This window comes from Homo sapiens, chromosome 5 (assembly GCF_000001405.40).
Source record: "Homo sapiens chromosome 5, GRCh38.p14 Primary Assembly".
Classification (NCBI taxonomy): Eukaryota; Metazoa; Chordata; class Mammalia; order Primates; family Hominidae; genus Homo; species Homo sapiens.
This window is the reverse complement of record NC_000005.10, coordinates 32,015,552-32,038,533: the sequence shown is the minus strand read 5'-3', so window position 1 is coordinate 32,038,533 and position 22,982 is coordinate 32,015,552. Positions and strand designations below refer to the sequence as shown.

General features: G+C 44.9%; 1 protein-coding gene across 8 annotated transcripts in view, besides 5 other annotated features; it reads right to left on the bottom strand.

Moving 5' to 3' along the window:
* PDZD2 (PDZ domain containing 2) overlaps positions 1 to 22,982 on the bottom strand; it is a 471,802-nt gene that overhangs the window by 72,399 nt on the left and 376,421 nt on the right. For all 8 annotated transcript variants that reach the window (XM_005248269.5, NM_178140.4, XM_011513992.3 and 5 more), the window contains one exon: positions 1,192 to 1,303. In XM_005248269.5, coding sequence (XP_005248326.1) covers positions 1,192 to 1,303 — 112 coding nt within the window. The remainder of the gene's footprint in view (positions 1 to 1,191; positions 1,304 to 22,982) is intronic.
* Positions 11,000 to 11,501: an enhancer, noted in NCBI's record as "H3K4me1 hESC enhancer chr5:32027139-32027640 (GRCh37/hg19 assembly coordinates)". NCBI's record gives its function as "activates a minimal SCP1, AML or CMV promoter by ChIP-STARR-seq in primed H9 embryonic stem cells {active_cell/tissue: H9 hESC(primed)}" and the evidence as "EXISTENCE:reporter gene assay evidence [ECO:0000049][PMID:30033119]".
* Positions 18,010 to 18,119: an enhancer, noted in NCBI's record as "active region_22436". NCBI's record gives its function as "activates an Ori minimal core promoter by ATAC-STARR-seq in GM12878 lymphoblastoid cells {active_cell/tissue: GM12878}" and the evidence as "EXISTENCE:reporter gene assay evidence [ECO:0000049][PMID:35858748]".
* Positions 18,140 to 18,189: an enhancer, noted in NCBI's record as "active region_22435". NCBI's record gives its function as "activates an Ori minimal core promoter by ATAC-STARR-seq in GM12878 lymphoblastoid cells {active_cell/tissue: GM12878}" and the evidence as "EXISTENCE:reporter gene assay evidence [ECO:0000049][PMID:35858748]".
* Positions 20,968 to 21,467: an enhancer, noted in NCBI's record as "H3K4me1 hESC enhancer chr5:32017173-32017672 (GRCh37/hg19 assembly coordinates)". NCBI's record gives its function as "activates a minimal SCP1, AML or CMV promoter by ChIP-STARR-seq in primed H9 embryonic stem cells {active_cell/tissue: H9 hESC(primed)}" and the evidence as "EXISTENCE:reporter gene assay evidence [ECO:0000049][PMID:30033119]".
* Positions 21,468 to 21,969: an enhancer, noted in NCBI's record as "H3K4me1 hESC enhancer chr5:32016671-32017172 (GRCh37/hg19 assembly coordinates)". NCBI's record gives its function as "activates a minimal SCP1, AML or CMV promoter by ChIP-STARR-seq in primed H9 embryonic stem cells {active_cell/tissue: H9 hESC(primed)}" and the evidence as "EXISTENCE:reporter gene assay evidence [ECO:0000049][PMID:30033119]".

Here is a 22,982-nt window from a genome sequence, read left to right as displayed (position 1 = left end):
AGAGGAGTCTTGCTCTGTTGCCAGGCTGGAGTACAGTGGTGTGATCTGGCCTCACTGCAACCTCAGCCTCCTAGGTTCAAGTGATTCCCCTGCCTCAGTCTCCCAAGTAGCTGGGAATACAGGTGTACGCCACCACACCCAGCTAATTTTTGTGTGTGTGTGTATTTTAGTAGAGACGGGGTTTCACCATGTTGGCCAGGATAGCCTTGATCTCCTGACCTCGTGATCTGCCTGCCTCAGCCTCCCAAGTGTTGGGATTACAGGTGTGAGCCACCGCGCCCGGCCTCCAGCTGTATCTTTATACCAACACAGCCATAAAATACTATTTTTACTTTTTTTTTTTTTTTTTTTAATGGAGGAAAAGACCCATCATGTGCCTAAAAAATGCCTTTTGCCAGGCACGGTGGCTCACGCCTATAATCCCAGCACTTTGGGAAGCTGAGGCGGGCGGATCACAAGGTCAGGAGTTCAAGACCAGCCTGGCCAACATGGTGAAACCTTGTCTCCACTAAAAATGCAAAAAAATTAGCCAGGCACGGTGGCGGGCGCTTGTAATCCCAGCTACTCGGGAGTTTGAGGCAGGAGAATTGCTTGAACCCGGGAGGCGGAGGTTGTAGTGAGCCGAGATCATGCCACTGCACTTTAGCCTGGGTGACAGAGCAAGACTCCATCTCAGAAAAAAAAAAAATGCCTTTCATAATGATACACAAAAGTTCTAAGGTGCCTCCTGCACAGAGCCATTGCTTTCAATGCTGACTTTCTCTCTCTGGGCCCAGGCCAGCTGCCGTAAGGAAATGCCCAGGAGATAGAGTCTATTTGCTCCAAAAGCTGCAACTCCATCCCATCTTTCTCCTGCTTATTGAAATGCAGATTTGATATTAACTCCACATTGAAAGGATCATGTGAAATCTGATCGAAGTAAACGAACCAAACATAAGACAGTCATGTTTCAGGACACAGAGACACACAGGAATGTTGACATCCACTTTGTTATGACTCAAAAAAAATGAAATTCACACAGGCAGGAGGCTAAATGCAGTTGTTATGCCTGGGATATGCACCATCCAAGGTAAAAATGATTTTGAGGTTTTAAGGAAGACGGGAGCTCATCCCGGCAATGGCTTCATCTCCCTGCTCCTGAGGCTGAAAACTCATCCTAGACAGGCTGCATCAGGTAGAGCCCCCACCTACCTGAAAGGCGACTCTTGAGCTTGATTTTATTGCTGCCCTGTTTGGGACTTTCCAAGTTCCCCTTGGATTCCTCAGCACCGCACACATCTTGGGGTTCATCTGTCCCAGGCATCTGAAATGCAGAAAGCACAGAGCTGATGGGAGAGCCCAGCCCTGCGATGACTTATGCTGTCCCCCTCCACAATGTTATCTCAAGGCTCAAGGAGCAGCAATACAGGTGTTATGTGAGAAGAAGGACCACGGGATCAAAGCACAGCCCTTCAGATAAGCTGCATTCGCAACGCCTTGCATTGGCCAATTCCTCCTCAGCACGCGTCTCACCGCCCAGCATGGAACCAGGGGCCCCCAGTCCTCCTCAGCACACGTCTCACTGCGCAGCATGGAACCAGGGCCCCCAGGGCCACTTCGTCTTCCATCCTACACCTGAGGACACTTGTTGGTCAGTTACCCAGGTGGTCTCCCAGTGGTCAACGACAAAGCTACAACGCAAGCCCAGGTCTCTTGACCTGTAGGCCAGTGCTTTTTCCCACAATGCAAGTTGCAACAAATATTAAACCAGAAATTCAAACCCAGTTCTAAGGTTTCTAAAATACAGTAAAAATTTGATTTTATGGCAGCTATACATTTTAGTCAACCAAATGTTCTGTGTGCTATGCTCCGGAGTGAGTATTGATCAGACGGCTCCTGGAATCAAGCTCAGCCCCAGGCACCCTGGAGGCGTCGACATGAGGTCAGCCCACACATCTGGAAGTTGTGTGACCCCAGGAGGTGATACACAAAGTCTGATCCCAAGGCTCACTGGGTCCTCCATCCTAGAGAAACCCAACATGCTAAAAACAAAACAAAACCCCCATTTACTAGAGAAGAAAATGAGACACATGCACTTCAGAGTGTTTATAAAAAATTGTGGGGTAAATTTACATGTACAAGACTTTTGAGATACATCAAACAATAAATCTTCCCATTTGAAATTTTATTTTCCTTTGAGGTTCTAGAGGAAAACAGTCTTATATTAAAATAGGTAATATTCTCACTAAGTAAGATATACATACTTAAAAAGGCATATAAGGTATCAAGTAAAGAAAGGTTGATGAGGCCGGGTGCAGTGGCTCATGCCCGGAGGCAGAGGTGGGCGGATCACGAGGTCAGGAGATCGAGACCATCCTGGCTAATGGCTAAAACAGTGAAACCCCGTCTCTACTAAAAATACAAAAAATTAGCCGGGTGTGAAATTAGCCGGGCATGGTGGCGGGTGCCTGTAGTCCCAGCTACTCGAGAGGCTGAGGCAGGAGAACTGATTGAACTCGTGAGGCAGACGTTGCAGTGAGCCGAGATCACGCTACTGCACTCCAGCCTGGGCGACAGAGCGAGACTCTGTCTCAAAACAAACAAACAAACAAAACAAAACAAAACAAAGGTTGATGATGAAAAGATTCCTGGCTTCTCTTAAAGATGCCATTCAGCCTGACAGTTGTCTGGAGTTCATGACTATGAAGTTAAACTCAACTGGCAGGAATCTTCCTCCCAATTGGGGTTGGGAGAAATCAACCTGGTCCTACTTAAAGTGCTTTTTGTATGTATTCAAAAGCTTCTTGATTTGCATTTTCTCTTACCAGTTATCAAAAGGTGATGTAATTATAGTGTCACTTCTCACCCTCAAATTAACAGGTAATGAAAATTATATGTTGTATATTAAATTCAGTATATAGCTGGGTACAGTGGCGGGTGCCTGTAGTCCCAGCTATTCAGGAGGGTGAGACAGGAGGATCACTTGAGCCCAGGAGGTCAACATCAGCAGCCTGGGCAACATCGCAAGACCCTTTCTTTCTCTTAAAAAAAAATTCACCTGAGGTCAGGAGTTCAAGACCAGCCTAGCCAACATGGTGAAACCCTGTCTTTACTAAAAATACAAAAACTAGCTGGGTGTGGTAGCACACACCTGTAATCCCAGCTACTTGGGAGGCTAAGGCTGGAGAATCACTTGAACCTGGGAGGCGCAGGTTGCAGTGAGCCGAGATCACGCCACTGCACTCCATCCTAGGTGACAGAGCTAGACTCCATCTCAAAAAAGAAAAAAAAAAATTCAATACATAAAAACGTATAAAGTAAGCAGTTAGAGTAATTACGTAGGTAATCTCTTTTAAGAAATAATTGTTTATATACAAATTCTGTATACAATATGTAAAGTTTGGAAGATTCCCTCTTCCTCCTCAAGTTCAAGTATCTTTCTGGGTTAGAAACAGGAATAAAAAGGTCTGAGAATGAGGAAACGTAGGCAAAATTGAGAAAGGGGCATTGAGAAAACAAATTAATTCTGACATACAAAACAAAGGTAATAAATCTGTTGCATTCATATTACCTTATCAGGAACTGGCAGGTGTTCAGGTTTAAATTGTGAAGAAAAAGCAGGAACAGAATCTTGAGGGTGATTTTAGAGATTCCCTGGAGGGATGTCTTTCCCAACCCCAAATCCTGACATCAATATGTACACAGAGAAGAAAGAGCCATCTCTGAGACATCCTGAGCTCTGGGCCACATACAAATGGAAGAATCTAGAGAAAAGCCTTAGAGCCTCCCCTTTGCTTGACTTAAAAACTTTATGCAAAGAACCTGTCTCCAGGTTCTTTCCATACTGTCTCCAGACTGTGAACAGCAATTACCAGAGAGTGAGTTAAATTCCTGGTTCCAGCTGGGCGTGATGGCTCACGTCTGTAATCACTTTGGGAAGCGGAGACGGGTGGATCACTTGAGGCCAGGAGTTCAAGACCAGCCCGGCCAACATGGTGAAACCCCACTTCTACAAAGAATACAAAAATTAGCTGTGCATAGTGGCACGTGCCTGTATAATCCCAGCTACTCTGAAGGCTAAGGCACAAGAATAGCTCGAGCCTGGGAGGCAGAGGTTCCAGCGAGCTGAGATTGCGCCACTGCACTCCAGCCTGGGTGACAGAGCGAGACTCTGTGTCAAAAAAAAAAAAAAAAAAAAAATTCCTGGTTCCTTCTGATAATACCACCTGACCCAGGCTATCGACCTTCAGAGTAAGGGATTCCCTGGCTTGTAAGACATTACCGCCTTTGGTGCCTACTAAATGGGTAGCTTATTACACAGTGGCCAAGGTCCCAAACGTTGGAAAGTCTGTCTGAGATGCTCATGCCGAGCAAGGAAAACCATGCCAGCCTATTGTTTCTGGACTTAGGAAGTTTTCTGCATCTGTCTTCTCCTTTATTTTCCCAACACAGCCCCAGGTTTTCATAGGATCAGAGACATTTTGGAGATGATACAAGCACTTCTGAGCACCTGAGAAGGAAAGGAGCCTGCCTGAAAGGTTTCTGGTCATGATAGACAGATTCAGTTTCTATGATCTACAAAATGCCAGTAGGTTTTTTATGTCAAAGAAATCTTATGCTAAAGATGGTATATGTGAGCCAGACGTGGTGGTTCACACCTGTAATCCCAGCACTCTGGAAGGCCGAGGTGGGCAGATTTCTTGAGGCCAGGAGTTCAAGACCAGCCTGGCCAACATGGCGAAACCCCATCTCTACTAAAATACAAAAATTAGCCGGGTGTGGTGGTGAGTGCCTGTAGTCCAAGCTACTTGGGAGGCTGAGGAAGGAGGATTGCTTGAAACCAGGAGGCAGAGGTTGCAGTGAGCCGAGATCGCGCCACTGCATTCCAGCCTGGGCAAAAGAGCGAGGCTCTGTCTCAAAAAAAAAAAAAAGAGAGATGGTGTATGTGGCTACCTAATGCCTGTAGCTAGAGCCAGTAAGAATGGACCTAGAGATATCTCAAAGAGTTGCAAGCAGAGAGCTCTTGCTGTTGAGCAAGGAAGGAGTGACATCTTATTTCAGAACCCACTGAAAGGGTTAGCAGTGGGGAATGAATTTAAATGGAACTGTTTCCTCTTATAACAAAAAACTGTTTTTTCGTTGAGTTTGTTGTGATATTAGACGACTTGTAACTCACTGAACAGGAAGTGGGTTGCTTAGACACATTCATTCCAGATTATGTCAGGAAGTAGCAATATAAAATGCAATTTTGATTACACTTTGACTATTGTCTGAAAATGTCCACACTCTAAGAGAGTCCCTTTTCTGTGTGTGGTTTTGTTCCCAATGCACAGAGCAAACTGTTCTGGAAATGATGTCATTTTAGCTGTTCTGAAACGAAATTTGCAAAATGTTCTCCTGGAAGGCCTTCAGTTCAGCGAAACAGTTGATAAAATCTATTATTCATGAGCAGTTTCTAATTCATGTGTTACAAAACAATGCCATTATTGCTTCTCGGCCTCTTGGCTAACATCAAGTGTAGTACAAAACAATCCCATTATATTAATGGAGTCTCATAGAATTTGCCAATTTCCATGGTAGAGCCTTCCTGTTTGCATCATTTTCCACACCTGTAACATACACAGCACTCAATGAAGAAGCATCTTTAGCATCTGATTTTGTAGAGAGGTAGTGGGGCAGAGTGGTTGAGAATCCGGCCAGCTACCTGGGCACAAATCCTGATTATACCATTTTACTGCAGTTTAGGCACGTCAGTCAACCTCTTTGAACGTCAGTGTCCTCATCTGAAAAATGGGCCTGCATTTGGGAATTAAATAACATAGGTTTCTGACTAAAGGTGGCAGATTTCTCCTGATTTCCCTTTGAAACCACACTAACATGACAGGGAAAATTTTTTTTAGGAAAAGACAGACATAATTTACAAGGATAAAGAAAACAGAAGACAAAAGCAACAAATTCTGGAAACCAGCAAGCTGACAACCACGTGGCAATGGATCTGACTTGAGAAAGCTGAATCCTAAGTGTGGACTGGAGAAGGCTGAACGTTCACACAGAGAACTCCCCCAAAGCTCAGAAGTTGCCAGAAGAGGACCTCTGGAAGTGGGCATGAAGGCGGAAGCAGTGGCCCAAGGAACGACCGAGAGAGTGAAAGTGACCGACGTGGCCACTGATTTACACAGGTCTGATTCCGAGGCAGATTCTCAGGGGCTGAGAATGGCCTAGGGAAACTTTGAGGTGCATCAGAATCAGCAGGAAAGCTAACAAAGAACACAGAGACCAGGCTCATGGAAGAGGAACAGGGCCTGGGCCTCTGGAATTCACCACTGCCCTGGGCCAACAGAACCAGCCTCCAGTGGAACTGGACACGGAACTAAGCTGCGACTTCCCAGTTCTTCCTGCTCTCCCCCACGTTTACTTCAGAAATGAAGAAGAGAAGAAATGAAAGCTTCTCAGCTGTACCTGAGTAGCCCACCAGCCAACAAATAAGGGTGACTGTCATGTTGCTCCCTATTCAGAGTATACATATTTTAATCAGTGATTTATGGAAACTTGTTCTGCTCAATGTATAAACTATAAGCACAGGAGGTGTATGCAGAGTATAATGCAATTTACATGTGCCATAGGCAGCAGCACGGATTGTGCCTGTAACATATTGATCATTGATATCCAAGGCAGTTTTTTCATTATGTGAAATAGGAACAATCGTATTTATGTTTAAAGAGTTAAAAATACCTTGCAATTGTCTTACAGGGTTATCATGAGGGTTAAAAAGAAATTCACTGTGGAGTACCTAATGTGTATCATAAGAATATAGGTAAGGTTTAGTCGAAATTAAAGAAATAAAAAGGCCCAAGCTTTCTCCCCCCAGGTCTCAGGGTGCCTCCAGATTTGATGATTACATAGACTGTAGCTCTAGACTGCAGAGATATACATTTCAACTTCATACCTATGGAAAGTGGCAGATTTCATTAAAGAATAAAGAGAAACCAATGGAGATCCAAAGACATGCCATCTTCTTTGAAGATGGGGAAAAAAGCCCTTTAATAAAATTACTGCAAAACTCACAGCTAAGAAGCCATTTTTAAAGGCATGTGCCTGAAATGCTCAGTTTTTAGAAATCAGGTTTGCGCACAAGAACAAGGAGGATTTGAAAACATGCTCTGGTCCCTGATCAGAATAGGCGTAGTGGAAAAGAGAAAATAAAGAAATACATGATGACTAACTAGAGAAAAAGGGATACTTCCTTAAAAGAGATCTTAGACAACAGACTCCAGAGTCTGATGAGTAACTGGGATTGTGAAGTCCCAGAGCACAGTGATGTATGGAAAAGACTCTTGACGGTTCCTATCTTAAAGGGTCTGTCACAAAAGTAGGGAGATGCTACGTTATTCCTAAATTAGTGGGGGTGACTGGGACCTGAAGAAAGCTACCTGAGAGTCAAAACCACAGGGAAGAGAGTGGAATTCCAGGCCCAGAAAACATGAGACAAATGATTTTAAGACTGCAGAGGAAGAGCTTTGGAAGGATAATCTGGGACAGCTCTCCCAAGAGAGATCAGCATATGCGGACAGACTTGAAGGCAAAACTGCAGGGAAGACCGAGAAGAATGAAAAAAATCCTCAGTAAATTCTAACAGAACACAGTTATCGGTCATTGCTCTGATGAAAGTGGGCCGAGAAATGCATGAAATGAGGGACTCTAAAGGGAGTAAATATGAGAAATACCAAGGGGGTGGGGCCTGGCAGGAGGAGAATAGGCTAGAACTTGATGCTGGCCTGATAGGAGAACATTTCCTAGGTGGAATTAGCTAACGCAGAGCCAGTGGTGGTCAGCATGCATTTGAACAATGGATATTTCACTAAATAGAAGAGTCATTGATTTCATCTCTTTCACAGTGATGGACCCTGTATATTATCTAGATTAGTATGTTAGGAAAAAAGGTCTGAGTCAGAAACAAAGAAACAGTAGAAATACTTTTTAAAAAACACCCAAATTCAGCATGCAAACCTATAAAGAAGAAATGGAACTAATTTAAGCAGCAGGTAAAAAGGAAACTCAATTAAGTCTTTCCCAAAGGGGAAGGATATGAATCACTACAGACATATCCAATTACTGCCCCAAAATATGTAGGAGAAAGCAATGCCACGTGATCCCTGGGACACTCAAAACCTGAGAAAAAACTAATCCCAAGGAAGAGGCGGCAGAGGTATTAGCCCTTACTAGCTCATTAGGGGCACAAGCTCTAGAATCATCAACAGAAGGTCTGGATCATGAATCTGCGGAGGGTGTTTTTCCAGCTCAACAAATGTGGAAGGAGAGATGAAGCTTTCTTCAGTCTAAGCACTTCCATGCCAAGAGGCAGTGGAAATGGAAAATGTGGCCCAGGACTGACTGAACATTCCTGCTTTTAAGAAGGTAGAGCTCCATCAGAGGCACCATCTACACCCAATGCAGCACGCCATGAAGCCCTTTACTTTTATGTCAAAGTGAAAATGCCAGTCAAGAAGCTACTGAATACACACAGAAAGCACTTGAAGTAGGACCGGGTTGATTTCCCTCCAACTCCAGTTGGGAGGAAGATTCCTGCCAATTGGCTTTAAGTTCATGGTCGTGAACTCCAGACAACTGTCAGACTGACTGGCATCTTTAAGAGAAGCCAAGAATCTTTTCCTCATCAACCTGCCTTTTCTTGATATTACTGAGTCTCTCTGGTCTGCCCTATTGGGAGGTAATTCTCCCTGGGTCTCTTGCATTTCTGCATGGCGTGCAAACAGAGACAGAGGCTGTTGTTACATGGAATTATCTGTCTTTCCAGGGATGTTTGTAGAGTGAACAGCCTTGAAAGTTAGATAGTGTCTCAGGAGGAAGGGACAGGTTCCTTCCTCTGGTGCAAAGGTTGGTCAGGTCTGCTTCTAGCCCATCATAAAAGACTGAGGTTGCCTATGGTGAGGGATCCTCAGCTGTGATGCAAATCCACTGCATGTGCACACCCCCGAGCCTGTGTCACCGCCACAGGACTTGCAGGGGAAAGGGGAAATGATGTGAACATAAAGCCCTAAATAAACTGGGGTTAAATCCTAAAAACTGGGATTAGGGAAGCTAAAATCTAGTTGCTGTGCCATGAGTAATAAAAAGTCATTTGTCTCTGACTCAGGAATCTCAAGTCTCCTGCCAGCATCCATGAAACTATAGTGGAAAAGCTTTTTTTTTTTTTTTTTTTTTTTTACAGTTCTTGATACTACCTTTGGCAAATTTAAATAAGGTCCCAAGAACAAAATCTTGCCTAGGACAACTGTCTAGGGACTGGGGTTTGGGTCATCTTTCTAAATGTTAAGGGCGTGGGGACAATGTTTTGATACTATTGAGGGTCCACTTACTTTTTTTTATTTGCATATCACTAAAAAGTAAAGCACATGAGAGACTTGCTGTTGAATGAATTCAGTCTTCTTGGAGCTGGAAAAAACTGTATTTATTCCTGTGGAAAACAGCCCAGGCTGCAGATGCTGAAAAACACAATCTTTTTCCAGCATCCAGCACCAAGGATCTCCTTAACTAAGAATGAGCAAAATAATGGCTGGGCGCGGTGACTCACGCCTGCAATCCCAGCAATTTGGGAGGCCAAGGCAGGCGGATCACTTGAGGTCAGGAGTTCCAGACCAGCCTGGCCAACCTGGTGAAACCCCGTCTCTACTAAAAATACAAAAATTAGCTGGGTGTGGTGGCACATGTCTATAATCCCAGCTACTCGGGAGGCTAAGGCAGGAGAATTCCTTGAATCCGGGAGGCAGAGGTTGCAGTGAGCCAAGGTTGTGCCACTGCACTCCAGCCTGGGCAACAAGAGCGAGACTCTGTCTCAAAAAAAAAAAAAAACAAAAAAAACAAAAAAAAAAAATAGAAGGAGCAAAATAAGAAATAGGAGAGATCAAAGGAGGCCATTAAGGGCTTTGGTTTTTTTTAAACACAAAAAGTCAAGGAAATTTAAGTTGAGATGTTAATTACTTTAGATTTTAAGATCTTTGGATTATGACCTACAAGGGCATTTAATTTATTTGAACATTATTATGTTGACATTTTATATCATTGCAGAACCTCTGAAAAGTTGCACTAGACAATGTGGCTAGAAATAATTTTGGATGAGAAATACCACAGGGACTGAGTTTTAGTTTCTGGCAAATTTCGTCTTCTAGGGGTGGGGGGCAAACCATCATTGCCCATGAGACAGGCCTCTTAGGTCCAAGCTAAATATCCTTAGAAATATCCTGTAACTGTTTCAAAGCATTTGTGAGCTCTCCTGGAACACACTGTGACTAATAGCATGTCGCAATCCTGAGTATCCGCTGTCTTTCTCAGCCAGCTCTTGCAGCCTTACGAACAAACCATGCAAAGCGTGGCTTTTATCTCCAGCTGTTTCCTTTGTGCAAGCTTGCCTAGTCCCAAAGAAAACTTCAGGACTGGTTGCACCCAGTTCTCACCATGTTTTTATGGTTCCCAAGACTTGAAAAAAAAAGAAAAAATCTGCAGATGTGACAGAAGACATCTAAGCTCCAAATCCCCAGGAAGCTCTGTTGGCTCATTCCCCGGTCAGTGTCCATAGGACAGTGGAACGCAGCGATTTCCCTTTCAGGCTTCAGTCACACTAAGATTATTTTTAGGTTGCCAAAGGAAGCTCATTTTCCAAGTCTCTGGGGCAGATGTTTGAGTGACCGAAGGAGAACCAGATGGTCATCAGAGAGGCCTGGGCTGGGAATGAATAACCATTCAGAAAATGGGAATCAGGACAACAATAAATCAGCACAAAGTAGCAAGAAGCCTGCAAGTTACGTGTAGAAATTAAAACAGGAATCTACTGCTACACTCGACCCGCTGCTTTCCAATCAAGAGAGTAACTCAGAACTAAAGAGGAAAACAGCAACACCACAAAGTCAAACTCGTCAACCCTGGGCGTGCTCTGGTACACGCCGGGCATGTGTGCATAGATCAGAGGTTGTCAGATGCAGCTGGGAGTGGGGGGAGCCGCAACTGATGCCCACTGCGACGCTCAGGCTGTGGCTCCGCAAATGAATTAATACTGCCCTTGTTCTAGCTAAGCCCATTTCCAGCTTCCTCCCATTCATCACCCCCAAACAATTTGAATGGGCTTAACACACATTGAGAGTGATTATTTTTATGCGTTGAAATTTAAAGAGATCTCTTGGTTCCTTAGAAAGTTGAGGTAATCACCTTTAAGGGCACAGGAATGTAATCAGTCATTAGCTTGTAACTGACCCTCTTGCAGTGGGTTTGTATGTGTCATGTTCCCAAGAGAGGCTAGTGTCCTCTAGTAACTCTCAGCTCTTTGAAAATAACAGGGGGGCCAGGCATGGTGGCTCACGCCTGTAATTCCAGCACTTTGGGAGGCCGAGGCGGGTGGAGCACCTGAGGTCAGGAGTTCAAGACCAGCCTGGCCAACATGGTGAAACCCCGTCTCTACTAAAAGTACAAAAAATCAGCCGGGCGTGGTGGCACACACCTGTAATCCCAGTTACTCAGGAGGCTGAGGCAGGAGAATTGCTTGAGCCCGGGAGGCAGAGACTGCAGTGAGCCGAGATCGTGCCACTGCACTCCAGCCTGGGCGACAGAGCGAGACTCTGTCTCAAAACAAAAACAAAAAACAAAAACAACAAAAAAAGGAAACAACAGGGGATGTGGAGGTCAAGGAGGAGAATGCATGTGTTCAACCTTAGTACAGATTTCAAATTGAGGTAAGGTAATAACAGGCATCCTCTGGGAAGTGGAACTCTCTCACTCTTGCCATGGTCCCATGACCTAGTGGGTGAGAAAACTATGGGGTCTGGAGCTATTCTTTGGATTTGGGGGCTGGCTACTCAAGGTAGACCCTTGGGTCATTTCTCAGCAGTGTTGGCTACCAGGTTCATTGCATTGGATGTATTTCTGGAAGTAGGACTATGATATGCTTTAAACACCAGAATGACAAAATCAGGTGTGTGTGTGTGTGTGCGTGCGTGCACGTGCACGCATACACATGCATACAGGAAAATCTCAAGACATGTAAAAGGTAGTGGTGGGAAGGCTGTTAAAAAAAGAAAGGCATGTAAAAGAGCCCTAAGAAGTACACAAGGCTGGGCGCAGTTGCTCACGCCTGTCATCTCAGCACTTTGGGAGGCGGAGGCGGGCGGATTGCTTTGAGCCCAGGAGTTCAAGACCAGCCTGGGCAACATCACAAGACCCCGTCTCTACAAAAAATACAAAATCTAGCTGGGTGTGGTGGCACATGCCTGTAGTCTCAGCTACTTGGGAGGCTGAGGTGGAAGAATAGCTTGAGCCCAGAAGATGGAGGTTGTAGTGAGCCAAGATTGTGCCACTGCACTCTAGGCTGGGTGACAGAGCCAGACACTGTTACCAAAAAAAAAAAAAAATAGTAGTCAACAGGACAATTAGCAGGAAAGGAAGCAAGAGGTGAATTGTCAGAAGGGGCCCTGATACAGCAGCAGAGTCAAATCCAATTCAGCAGCAACAGTAAACATACCAGGCTCTTTTTTAGACAAATCTTTCAGAAAATGTGTCATACTCTTACATGGATTATTGTAACAGAAAAAGATTGTTTTAACTGGGCATGCCATTTAGGCAGGTTTTAGGTGAAAAGTAAGACATCGTGGCCTGGGCTTGTTGGCTCACGCCTGCAGTCCCAGCACTCTGGGAGACTGAGGCAGGTGGATCACTTGAGGTCAGGGGTTGAGACCAGCCTGGGCAACATAGTGAAATCTTGTGTCTACTAAAAACACAAAAATTAGCTGGGCATTGTGGAGGGCACCTGTAATCCCAGCTACTAGGGAGGCTGAGGCAAGAGAATCACTTGAAACGGGAGGTGGAGGTTGTAGTGAGCCGAGATCATGCCACTGCCCTCCAGCCTGGGTGACAAGAGTGAGACTGTTTCCAAAAAAAAAAAAAAAAAAAAAAAAAAAAGCATCATGGTTACATTTGGGCTCACTAGTTGTTTTTTGTTTGTTTGTTTGTTTGTTTGTTTGTTTTGTGACAGAGTTTCACTCTTGTTGTCCAGGCTGGAGTGCAATGGCGCGATCTTGGCTCACCACAACCTCCACCTCCCGGGTTCAAGTGATTCTCCTGCCTCAGCCTCCCATGTAGCTGGGATTACAGGCATGTGCCACCACGCTCGGCTAATTTTGTATTTTTAGTAGAGACAGGGTTTCTCCATGTTGGTCAGGCTGGTCTTGAACTCCTGACCTCAGGTGATCCGCCCTCCTCAGCCTCCCAAAGTGCTGGGATTACAGATGTGAGCCACCGCACCCGGCCAGGGCTCACTGTTAAGTTCCAGGCAGCACTCTCTGGCCTTCCGCTGCCTTCCCCAGATCAATATGAGCTCCTTGCTGCTTCTTTCCTTCCTTCTTTTTCCTTCCTTTCTTTCTAGGAATAGTGTTGAGTTCATGGGCTTTGCTGACATATATTTCTAAGGGCAGGCGCTTCTTTAAGATAATCTGTTGGGAAAGCTGAGATGCTGGTGAGCCCACAGGAAGGAGCAAAAAGAGAGGCTGTTCCAGGCTCACAAATGATCACCTACAGCAGGGCTCAGCCAACATGCCTGGGGGCCAAATCTGGCCCAGCACTTGTTTTTGTCAAGTTTTACTGGAACACAGTCATGCCCATTTATTTATTGTTTATGGCTGCTTTCAAAGTACAAAGGCAGAGGTGAGCAGTTGAAACAAAGACTGTTTGGCTAGCAAAGCCTGAAATGCTTATTATGTGGTCCTTCAGTTGTAACTCCTCATCTACAACGGAGCCCCCATCCATGGGGCATATGTGCCAAACCCCACGTTTCTTTCTTTCCTTTTCTTTTTTTTCTTTCTTTTTTTTTTTGAGATGAAGTCTTGCCCTGTCGCCTAGGCTGGAGTTCAATAGCACAATCTTGGCTCACTGCAACCTCCACCTCCCGGATTCATGCGATTCTCCTGCCTCAGCCTCCTGAATAGCTGGGATAACAGGAGTGCACCACCACACCCAGCTAATTTTTGTAGTTTTAGTAGAGACGAGGTTTCGCCATGTTGGCCATATTGGTCTCAAACTCCTGACCTCAGGTAATCTGCCCGCCTTGGCCTCCCGAAGTACTGGGATTACAGGGATGAGCCACCATGCCCGGCCCCGTTAATTGGAACATGTTTCTGTTCACGTCTTCCACCCACAAATCTAATGCCTTTTCCATCTTAGCTAAGCGCTTATGCACTGTGGCTGTAACTTTTGCGGCTTGAGGGATGATGGCAAAACTAGCACAAAATTCTTTTTCCTTCTTCACAGTTTCAAGGATAGAAGATTCATTCTTACCATAGATCTTGCAACCTCAGCATATGACTTTTCCTTCCTTCCTCAAGAAACTTTCCACCAAAAGGAAGCCCTGTATGGCTTCTCTTTGGCTTATCTGCATTGCCAGCATCATTGCTTGCACTACGGGGCAATCATGAAGCAGAATACAACTGCTTGATCACAAGAACCGTGATACCACAATAGTTGATCTGATCATGGAGCTGGCTACGTAGTGACTAACGGGCAGGTAGTGTAGATGGTGTAGATAAACTGGATGAAGGGGTGATTCACGTCCCAGGCGGGACAGAGCAAGACAGCATGAGATTTCACCACTCTCGTCAGAATGGCACACAATTTAAAACTTACGAATTGTTTGTTTCTGGAGTTATATTTTCTGATAGAGGTTTACTGTGGGTAAATGAAACTGCAGGAAGCAAAACTCTGGATAAGGGGGGCTACGGTCTAGGAATAGTTCATACTCTAGCCCTACCCATCTCCCCACTGCCATCTGTACCCAGAGTCGTTATGAAGACTTGAGAATTTTCAGAAAATATGACTTAGTAAGTGAAAGGGAAGGAAGTGACAGAGAGAGACATCTTAGGCAAGAAGCTAGCATGGTATCTCCTCTAAAAGCAACCTTGTCATCCAGGATTCTGTGTAATTTTATCTTAAATTTCATTTTTAAATGATACAGATAAACTCTTTAAGAAGGATTCTCTGTTTAAAATGTACATACTTTGCTAAGTGTCCCAGAATCACTTACCACTGTTTAAATAGGTTTTAAGTCAGATTGCTTTCCTAACAAACACACTGCTTGGAAAAATGGAAAAGGTTGGTTTGTTTTTTGGTCTTTTGGGTTGTTGGTGGTGGTGCAATGAGAGAACGTGGCTTGGAGAAGGAGGAAGGAGAGGCTGTCTGGGAGGGGAGACGGTGGGGACCTCAGTGGAGAGTTCAGACCAGGATGAAAGCTCTGGGCTCCGGGGGCCTGTAAAGACAGCCGGCATCAAGTGAGCAGGAGGGGATGACATGAGGGTTCAAAGGCAAATAGAAACCCATTCAAAATATTGCATAGGGCCAGCCCTGCCTTCAGGAAAAAAGGGAAGGAAACTTTTCATCCTCTCCCTCCATGCCAAGGGGCCCTTGCTCCCAGAAGCCAGCACCCCGACTGGCAGGTGACCTCCCATTGCCTGTCACTCACACGGCTTCCCGCCTCTCCATCCTCATGACCATCACTCCTGCAGCACAGGCTCTGGTTACCTCTCAATGGGACTAGGTACAGCAAAGGCCTCCAAATCCATCTTTTCACCTCCATCCTGCCTTTCTTCAATCCCACTCCTCCTCTGCCACGCTGCTTGAGTAATCTTAAAAACTCTGACCCTGTCACTCAACTGAAAAGCCATCAGTGAGTCACTTTCCTTGCAAAAGAAGTCAAAATTCCATAGTCTGAAACTAGAAGCATGGGCTGAACATTTTGCTCAATAGACTTTGTGGATTTCTGGACAGACTTCAAAATTTCCTATTTGAGGACCACTGTACATGTTATTTTTCTGTTCCAGAATGTCATCAGTTTCTGCAGGTGTTCCTGTGGAAGTCCTATGGAATAGTCAAATGCCACCCATCCATTGAACCCCTACTGATCCCCAGAAGGAATCAGATCTCTTCTCTAGGTCAGTATTGCACATGGCTCCTTGAGGATTCATTATGCTGAAAAGGGGACTATGAAAAGTACAGAAATGGCTGGGTGCGGGGGCTCATACCTATAATCCCAGCACTTTGGGAGGCCGAGGCAGGCAGATTGCCTGAGCTCAGGAGTTCGAGATCAGCCTGGGCAACATGGTGAAACCCCATCTCTACTAAAATACAAAAAAAAAAAAAAATTAGCTGTGAGTGGCGGTGTGCGCCTGTAGTCCCAGCTACTTGGGAGGCTGAGGCAGGAGAATTGCTTGAACCCGGGAGGTAGAGGTTGCACTGAGCAGAGATCATGCCACTGCACTCCAGCCTGGGCAACAGTGAGACTCCATCCCCCAACTCCAAAAAAAAACAAAAAACAAAAAAACAAAAAAACAAAACGAAAAAAGAAGAAGACAAGTACAGAAATAATCATAATTCATTATGGAATATAAAAAATACCATGAGAGAAGAAACAAGACTGGGTCTGCCATCTCTGTATCCCCAAAGCACCCAGCACAGTGCTGAGTGTGGACGGAGATGTCAGGCTGGCCGTCATCCAGCATTGATTCGTACAATGCCTTGGTTGTGGGCACCTGCAGGGTCATGTTATGAACTACTGCAGTTGTATCTGGTATCAGCAGGAAGAGTGCTAGGAAGAATTCCAGATGTCTGCCCCAGGAGCTAAAGAGGAGGGGTAAGTGGGTGACACAAAGGCCACCTTTTTTGCTACTCATAGCTTAAAAGATAATTCCACAGATATTTACTAAGTAGATATATTTGTTTCAAGGGGAAATAAATTTGAATATCCAAACAAAAGCTTTACCAACAAATTTTGGAAAACACCTGCCCATTAACAAACCGGGAGCTGACGTTCTGATTTTAAGTGCTAAAATGTGAGAAACAGGTAAGACTGGCAATCAGAGAAAGGAGAGACTACTGAAGGCGTGGAGGAGTTAGAAAGTCTCTGTCAGGAGGCCAGATGCGGTGGCTCATGCCTATAATCCCAGCACTTTGGGGGGCTGAGGCAGGTGGATCACTTGAGGTCAGGAATTAAAGACCAGCCTGGCCAACATGGTGAAACCCCATCTCTACTAAAAAATACAAAAATCACCCAGGCATGGTGGCAGGTGCCTGTAATCCCAGCTACTCGGGAGGCTGAGGCATGAGAATTGCTTGAAATCAGGAGGCTGAGACAAGAGAATTGCTTAAACCCGGGAGGCAGAGGTTGCAGTGAGCCGAGATCATGCCACAGCACTCCAGCCTGGGTGACAGAGCGAGGCTGTCTCAAAAACAACAACAATTAAAAAAAAAATCAAGGCAAGCAAACAGTAACGGTAGGGGGTGGGGTGAGGAGTTTGTCCTAAATCGCTCCATTTCTTTGTGAAATTTCTGCCCTGGATTCCACAGGGGAACTTCTGACCTCTTGTATTTTGCTTTATTTCTCAGGCTGTGTGCTACCATGTTGCATAAGATGTGGCTAAAAAGAGGAAAATGTAAAAAAAAAAAAAAAAAATTCCAAGTCTTCAATGCACATGAAGTCTTTAAGTAAGGTGGGGTTTTTTTCCCCCCGGCACCCAATGCCCATTTATCTAACTCATCTATGCATCGTCGAAGATCATTTTGTTGGCCAGGTGCAGTGGCTCACTCCTGTAATCCCAGCACTTTGGGAGGCTGAGGTGGGCAGATCACTTGAGGTTAGGAGTTCAAGACCAGCCTGGCCAACATGGTGAAACACTGTTTCTACTAAAAATACAAAAAATTAGCCAGGAATGGTGGTGTGCACCTATAGTCCCAGCTACTTGGGAGGCTGAGGCAGGAGAATCGCTTGAACCTGGGAGGCAGAGGTTGCAGTGAGCCGAGATCGCGCCACTGCACTCCAGCCTGGGTGACAGTGAGACTCTGTCTCAAAAAAAAAAGAAAAAAAAAAAGATCATTTTGTCATTTGCCTATAATCCAGCACAATAACTGAAACTGAAACTAAGTGAGGATCTCCTGTTCCTCTTAAGAGTAAGATTCTGACAGTGCAGCAACATTATCTACATTACAGTCTCAGAAGACACATCTCAAGGATTTTTGTTACCTTAGAGGCTCAGCGAAGCTCATAAACAGAGTTATCCTGAGATACATGATGCAAAAATGAGCCACGTTACCCTGTTCCCACTTCGTGTGGTTATTGCCATAATTTTGTCTATGGCAGAAGAAATTTTTATTTCAGTTTCATTTCTGAACAGCCATCTTCCTTTGAGTCTTAATATATTCTATTTTGGCTGGGCATGGTGGTGGCTCACGCCTGTAATCCCAGCACTTTGGGAGGTCAAGGCAGGCGGATCACGAGGTCAGGAGTTTGAGACCAGCTTGGTCAACATGGTGAAACCTTGTCTCCACTAAAAATACAAAAATTAGCTAGGCATGGAGGTGGAGGTTGCAGTGAGCTGAGATTGTGCCACTGTACTCCAGTCTGGGTGACAGAGGATGACTCTGTCTCAAAAAAAAAAAATTAAATTAAAAAAATATATATATATGTGTGTATATATATATATTCTACTTTACATTTCAGCTTGTGGACCACAGACATAAACCCCTTAAGGACATATAAACTGAAATTAACCAAATAGGAGTGGTACAAATAAGAGGAAAATTTGGAACAGGGGTGAGAAGCCTTCTTGGAACACTAATGAAATGCGCAAAGACAGGAAGAAACTTACCTCCCGTGAGAAAGTCATTACATGACTTCTACATATTATGTTCATAAAAGAAATTAACTTCAGGGCCAAGAAACTTTATTATATGCTCCAATGATTCATATTTTATTTTCATTGAAATCTGAAAGAATTTTTCAAATCCAAAGAACGATAATAAAGTTGATTGCATACTAAGGAAATTTTTTTAACTGTATTTCCTAATGCTCCATGCTATGATGTCAGTCTTTCTAGGCTGAGAAGCCATCAAGCACGCCTAACGTAGACATAAAACAAAACAATCTAAAACACGGTAAGACCTACATACATTCTACTATTTTCCTTCCACACCCCAAGGGATCATCTGGCTTCTCCTCTGGGTGTGCCTATTCTATTATGGAGACCACTGCTCTTTGAGGATCCATGTGAAATACAATATTTGCTTTTCTGGCTGGGAAACGTGGCTCACGCCTGCAATCCCAGTACTTTGGGAGGCTGAGACGGGAGGATTGCTTGAGCCCAGGAGTTTGAGACCAGCCTAGAAAACATAGGGAGACCCCGTCTCTACAAAATATACAAAGAAATTAGCTGGGCATGGTGGCATGCAACTGTAATCCTAGCTACTCAGGAGGCTGAGGTGGGAGGATCTCTTGAGCCCAGGAAGTCAAGGCTGCAGTGAGCCATAATTGTGCCATTGCACTCCAGACTGGGCAACAGAGTGAGACCCTGTCTCAAAAAAAAAAAAAAAAAAAAGCTTTTCTATGCAAATGACATGAGCTGTTTACTTAGAGAACTGCAAACTCCTTAGATAAAAATGCAGCAAGGCCAGGTAGCCAGTTGGAACAGGCCCCTGAGAGTGTGCCACAGGATTCAAACTTCAGCAGTTTTCCAGGCAATTCATCTCGCCCAAGTAACTACTCTTATCTCCTTTCTTCCTCCACCCACTTAAATAATCACTTCATCTTCTTAAATATAAAACCAAACCAAACAAAAACCACCCCCAAATGTAAATCTTATTTTCTCAGACCAGCAATCATTGCAGTCTCGTCTTTCCTATCTTGCTCTGGCAATCCGACATAAGGCATTGAGTTTCAAGCAACCTTTTATACGTCCTGTGCCAGCTGAAGTGTTGCTTAAGGAACGTCTAAGTGAACTGAGACCTACTTGGGAAGTCCCGGGCTGAGGTTGGGGAGAGAGAGAAGTTCAGTTTGGGACAGTGGGGAGAAAATGCACAACTCAGGGAGCTGTGGATTGGCATGTGTGGCCGCCTGCTGCGGGTTGGTGCCGAGAATGAGGCAGTTTCTGCATCAGCAGCTCTGGTCTATATAACAGGAACTGGTGTCTGGGAAGGCAATGAGAACAATGATGTGCAAGCCAGTCTGTGCTCATGAGGATCCGGAGCAGGTTGGGGGATCTGTGCTTCTAAGTTTCCCACGAGCACCACAAACACCTTGGCCTCACTCCCTCTGTCCCTGAACTGCAGAAAATAGGGAGACAGTTGGGGGCCTAAAACCTCCCTTTGTCTCAACGCCGTGCACACAGAGGTCCCTGGGCATCGCCCAGCCCCTAGCTGGGAGACTCTTAGAAGCCTTGCCACTTTCACTTTTTATAATCTCACTGAGCTTCAGAATCACCAGAAACACAGACTCCTGGGCCCTACTCCACTCAGACCTGCCAAGGAGGCCTCTCCAGAGTGCACATGAGCCGGATGCAGGAGTGTGGAAGCTCCCTGCGCCCATTCATGCTTTTGCATAAACAGTGATCCTTCTGCATTTCGGTACAGTCTGTGAACTCCTAGCACTGCATTCATCTCTTTGTCCTGGCTCTTTTTTTCCCCTCACAGCTGCCTTGAGCTATAATGTGACTTTTCCAGGGGAACAAGTTTGCTATCAGTGGAGCCCTGCGGTCTTCCCTCTCATTGTAGATCTCCAGCTTATAAAATGCGAGGTTGGGACCAGTTACTCCCCAAGGTTCCCTGCAGTTCTGACACTTTATGGTTGTTTACCACAACCCACATCTCTGACACTCACAGTTCTGGGCTCTTTGCCCTGGTGCCTTTTTGGTCTTTTCACTTATATCCCACTTATTTCTTCACCAACTCCCCCTGGGATGTTTAATCCTTTGTTTTTGCTGCTGATTCATTAAAAAACCAAGTCCTAAATTCCCTGTAGCTGCTTGCAGGTTTCTAACCTTAACCAAACAAAAAGGAAGAAATCTACTTATCTGTTAATGAGATGCTACCACAAATATCCTATTTTAAGGGAAGGGACACTGTGTTCTCCCATTGTTACACTTCAAAAAATGATGTCTAAATCACTGATATTCTTATCCCAGAGAGAAATTCCCAGAAGGGCATAGCAGAGAGACTTTCTCTCATTTGGGGACAGAAACAAATGTCCACTATGTGCCAAGGCCATTTTAAACTATTTTTTTCTAATTTTTTTTTTTTTTTTGAGACAGGGTCTGGCTCTGTCACTCAGGCTGGAGTGCAGTGGCACCCATCTCGGCTCACTGCCACGTCTGCCTCCGGGGTTCAAGCGATTCTTGTGCCTCAGTCTCCCTCATAGATGGGATTACAGGCGTGAGCCACCACACCTGGCTAATTTTTTTGTATTTTTAGTAGAGATGGAGTTTTGCCGTATTGGCCAGGCTGATCTTGAACTCCTGACCTCAAGTGATCCTCCTGCCTAGGCCTTCCAAAGTGCTGGGGTTACAGGTGTGAGCCACTGTGCCCGGCCCAGGCCATTTTAAATTCATGGTATGCTGGGCAAGACAGTGGAAGGCGACCAAAGCTTACGACGAGAGGTATGCAGGGGGCATTGCGGGATGGTGAGAGGGTACACCAACCATCCCCCATCTGCACATCTGTCCAACCATCCATGTATCTCCATACACACACAGTGACAGTGAGGACCTGGGAGACGCAAGTGAGCAAACCTGACAGGGGCCCTGCCCCCATGGAGCCTCCACCTCATGGAGGATGACATTAAATGAGCTGTCACTTGAATAACAATGTCACTACGATCTGAATTAAGGGCCAGGGAAGACAACATAGGGCACACTGCATGCTGGGGGCCCAGGCAGGTAGGATGTATGGCTCTGGGAAGACTTCCTGGAAGAGGTGAATCCTGAAGTTACATAAATAGCAAGTGGAAGTCCAAAGAGAAGGGCAGACTGTTCTTGACCCAGGGGCAGAGTGGGGAATCCATAAGCAGAGGCTGCTGTGATTGCCCTGGGCTCAGAGAGACTGTGAGCTCAGCCCACACTGCCCATAGAAGCAGCCTAAGTGGTAACCCTCTATCCTCAAGGCCTCAGGGGAAGAACATGCGCTCCCCATAGATGCAGAGCTCCATGCTGGTGTCTTTCAGGATTAACAGTACTACTCCGAAGATCTGCCTTCCAGTCAGACTCCGTGTCTTTCTGTTTTAATGCTAATCACAGGTTTACACCCTTGGTATTCATTGTTCTTTGTATTAGACTCTAAGTTCAATTTGCCAGAAAAAACCAGGTCAACCCCGAAACAAGAGAGAGTTTCCCATCTAGGACACCACGAATCAACCAAAAATGATACATTCAGATGCTGTAACAGAAGTCCTTACTGCCCGGACACATTTGGAAACATTTAGAGCGGACATTTGATCAATTATTCAGTCCAAATAAAACACAAGAGGTCCTCTCCTTTCTTTCCACAGGCCTCATTTCTACACTCGAGGATACTGGCTTTCAGGCTCCCATACCCCTGGCAGTTCCACCAACGAAGAATCAAACACCCATATCAGACTCACAGAATCGGAAGGTCCTGCTTTGCTCTTCTTTCCTTGTAAGAAACAGGTCCCTTATTCCTTCTAAAACCTGAATCGCCCAAAAGTTCTCCAAGATTTTTCCAAACTTGTGATTCCAAAAATGTTAGAACTGATTTGCTTGATGGCAACGGAAGCCGGATACGGGTCTCCTGATTGATGTGCTAAACAAACTCTTCCGAGCTGAGCTTTACAATTGCAGATTTGGCAAAGACAACCATTACTTCCATTTTTTTTTCTTTGTTAAAAATATAAAAAGGGAGACAGGCTCCAACTTAATAAGTATCACCCATTTCACACCCTATTATACTGAAACTCTTCCTCTTCTCTTCAATTTAAAGTTTCTCTCTCAGAAGGCTAGAAAATAGATTTTTCTCATGAAAAATCTCTTTCTTTTTCAAAGACATTATTTACACTTGAGAAAGGACACAAACCTTTTTTGAATAGCCAATAATCACAATGCATGTGCCACTCATTTTATTGGAGATCGTAAACATTTAAGCGACATGCCAGATTCTCATTTAAAATATTGTCACTGCAT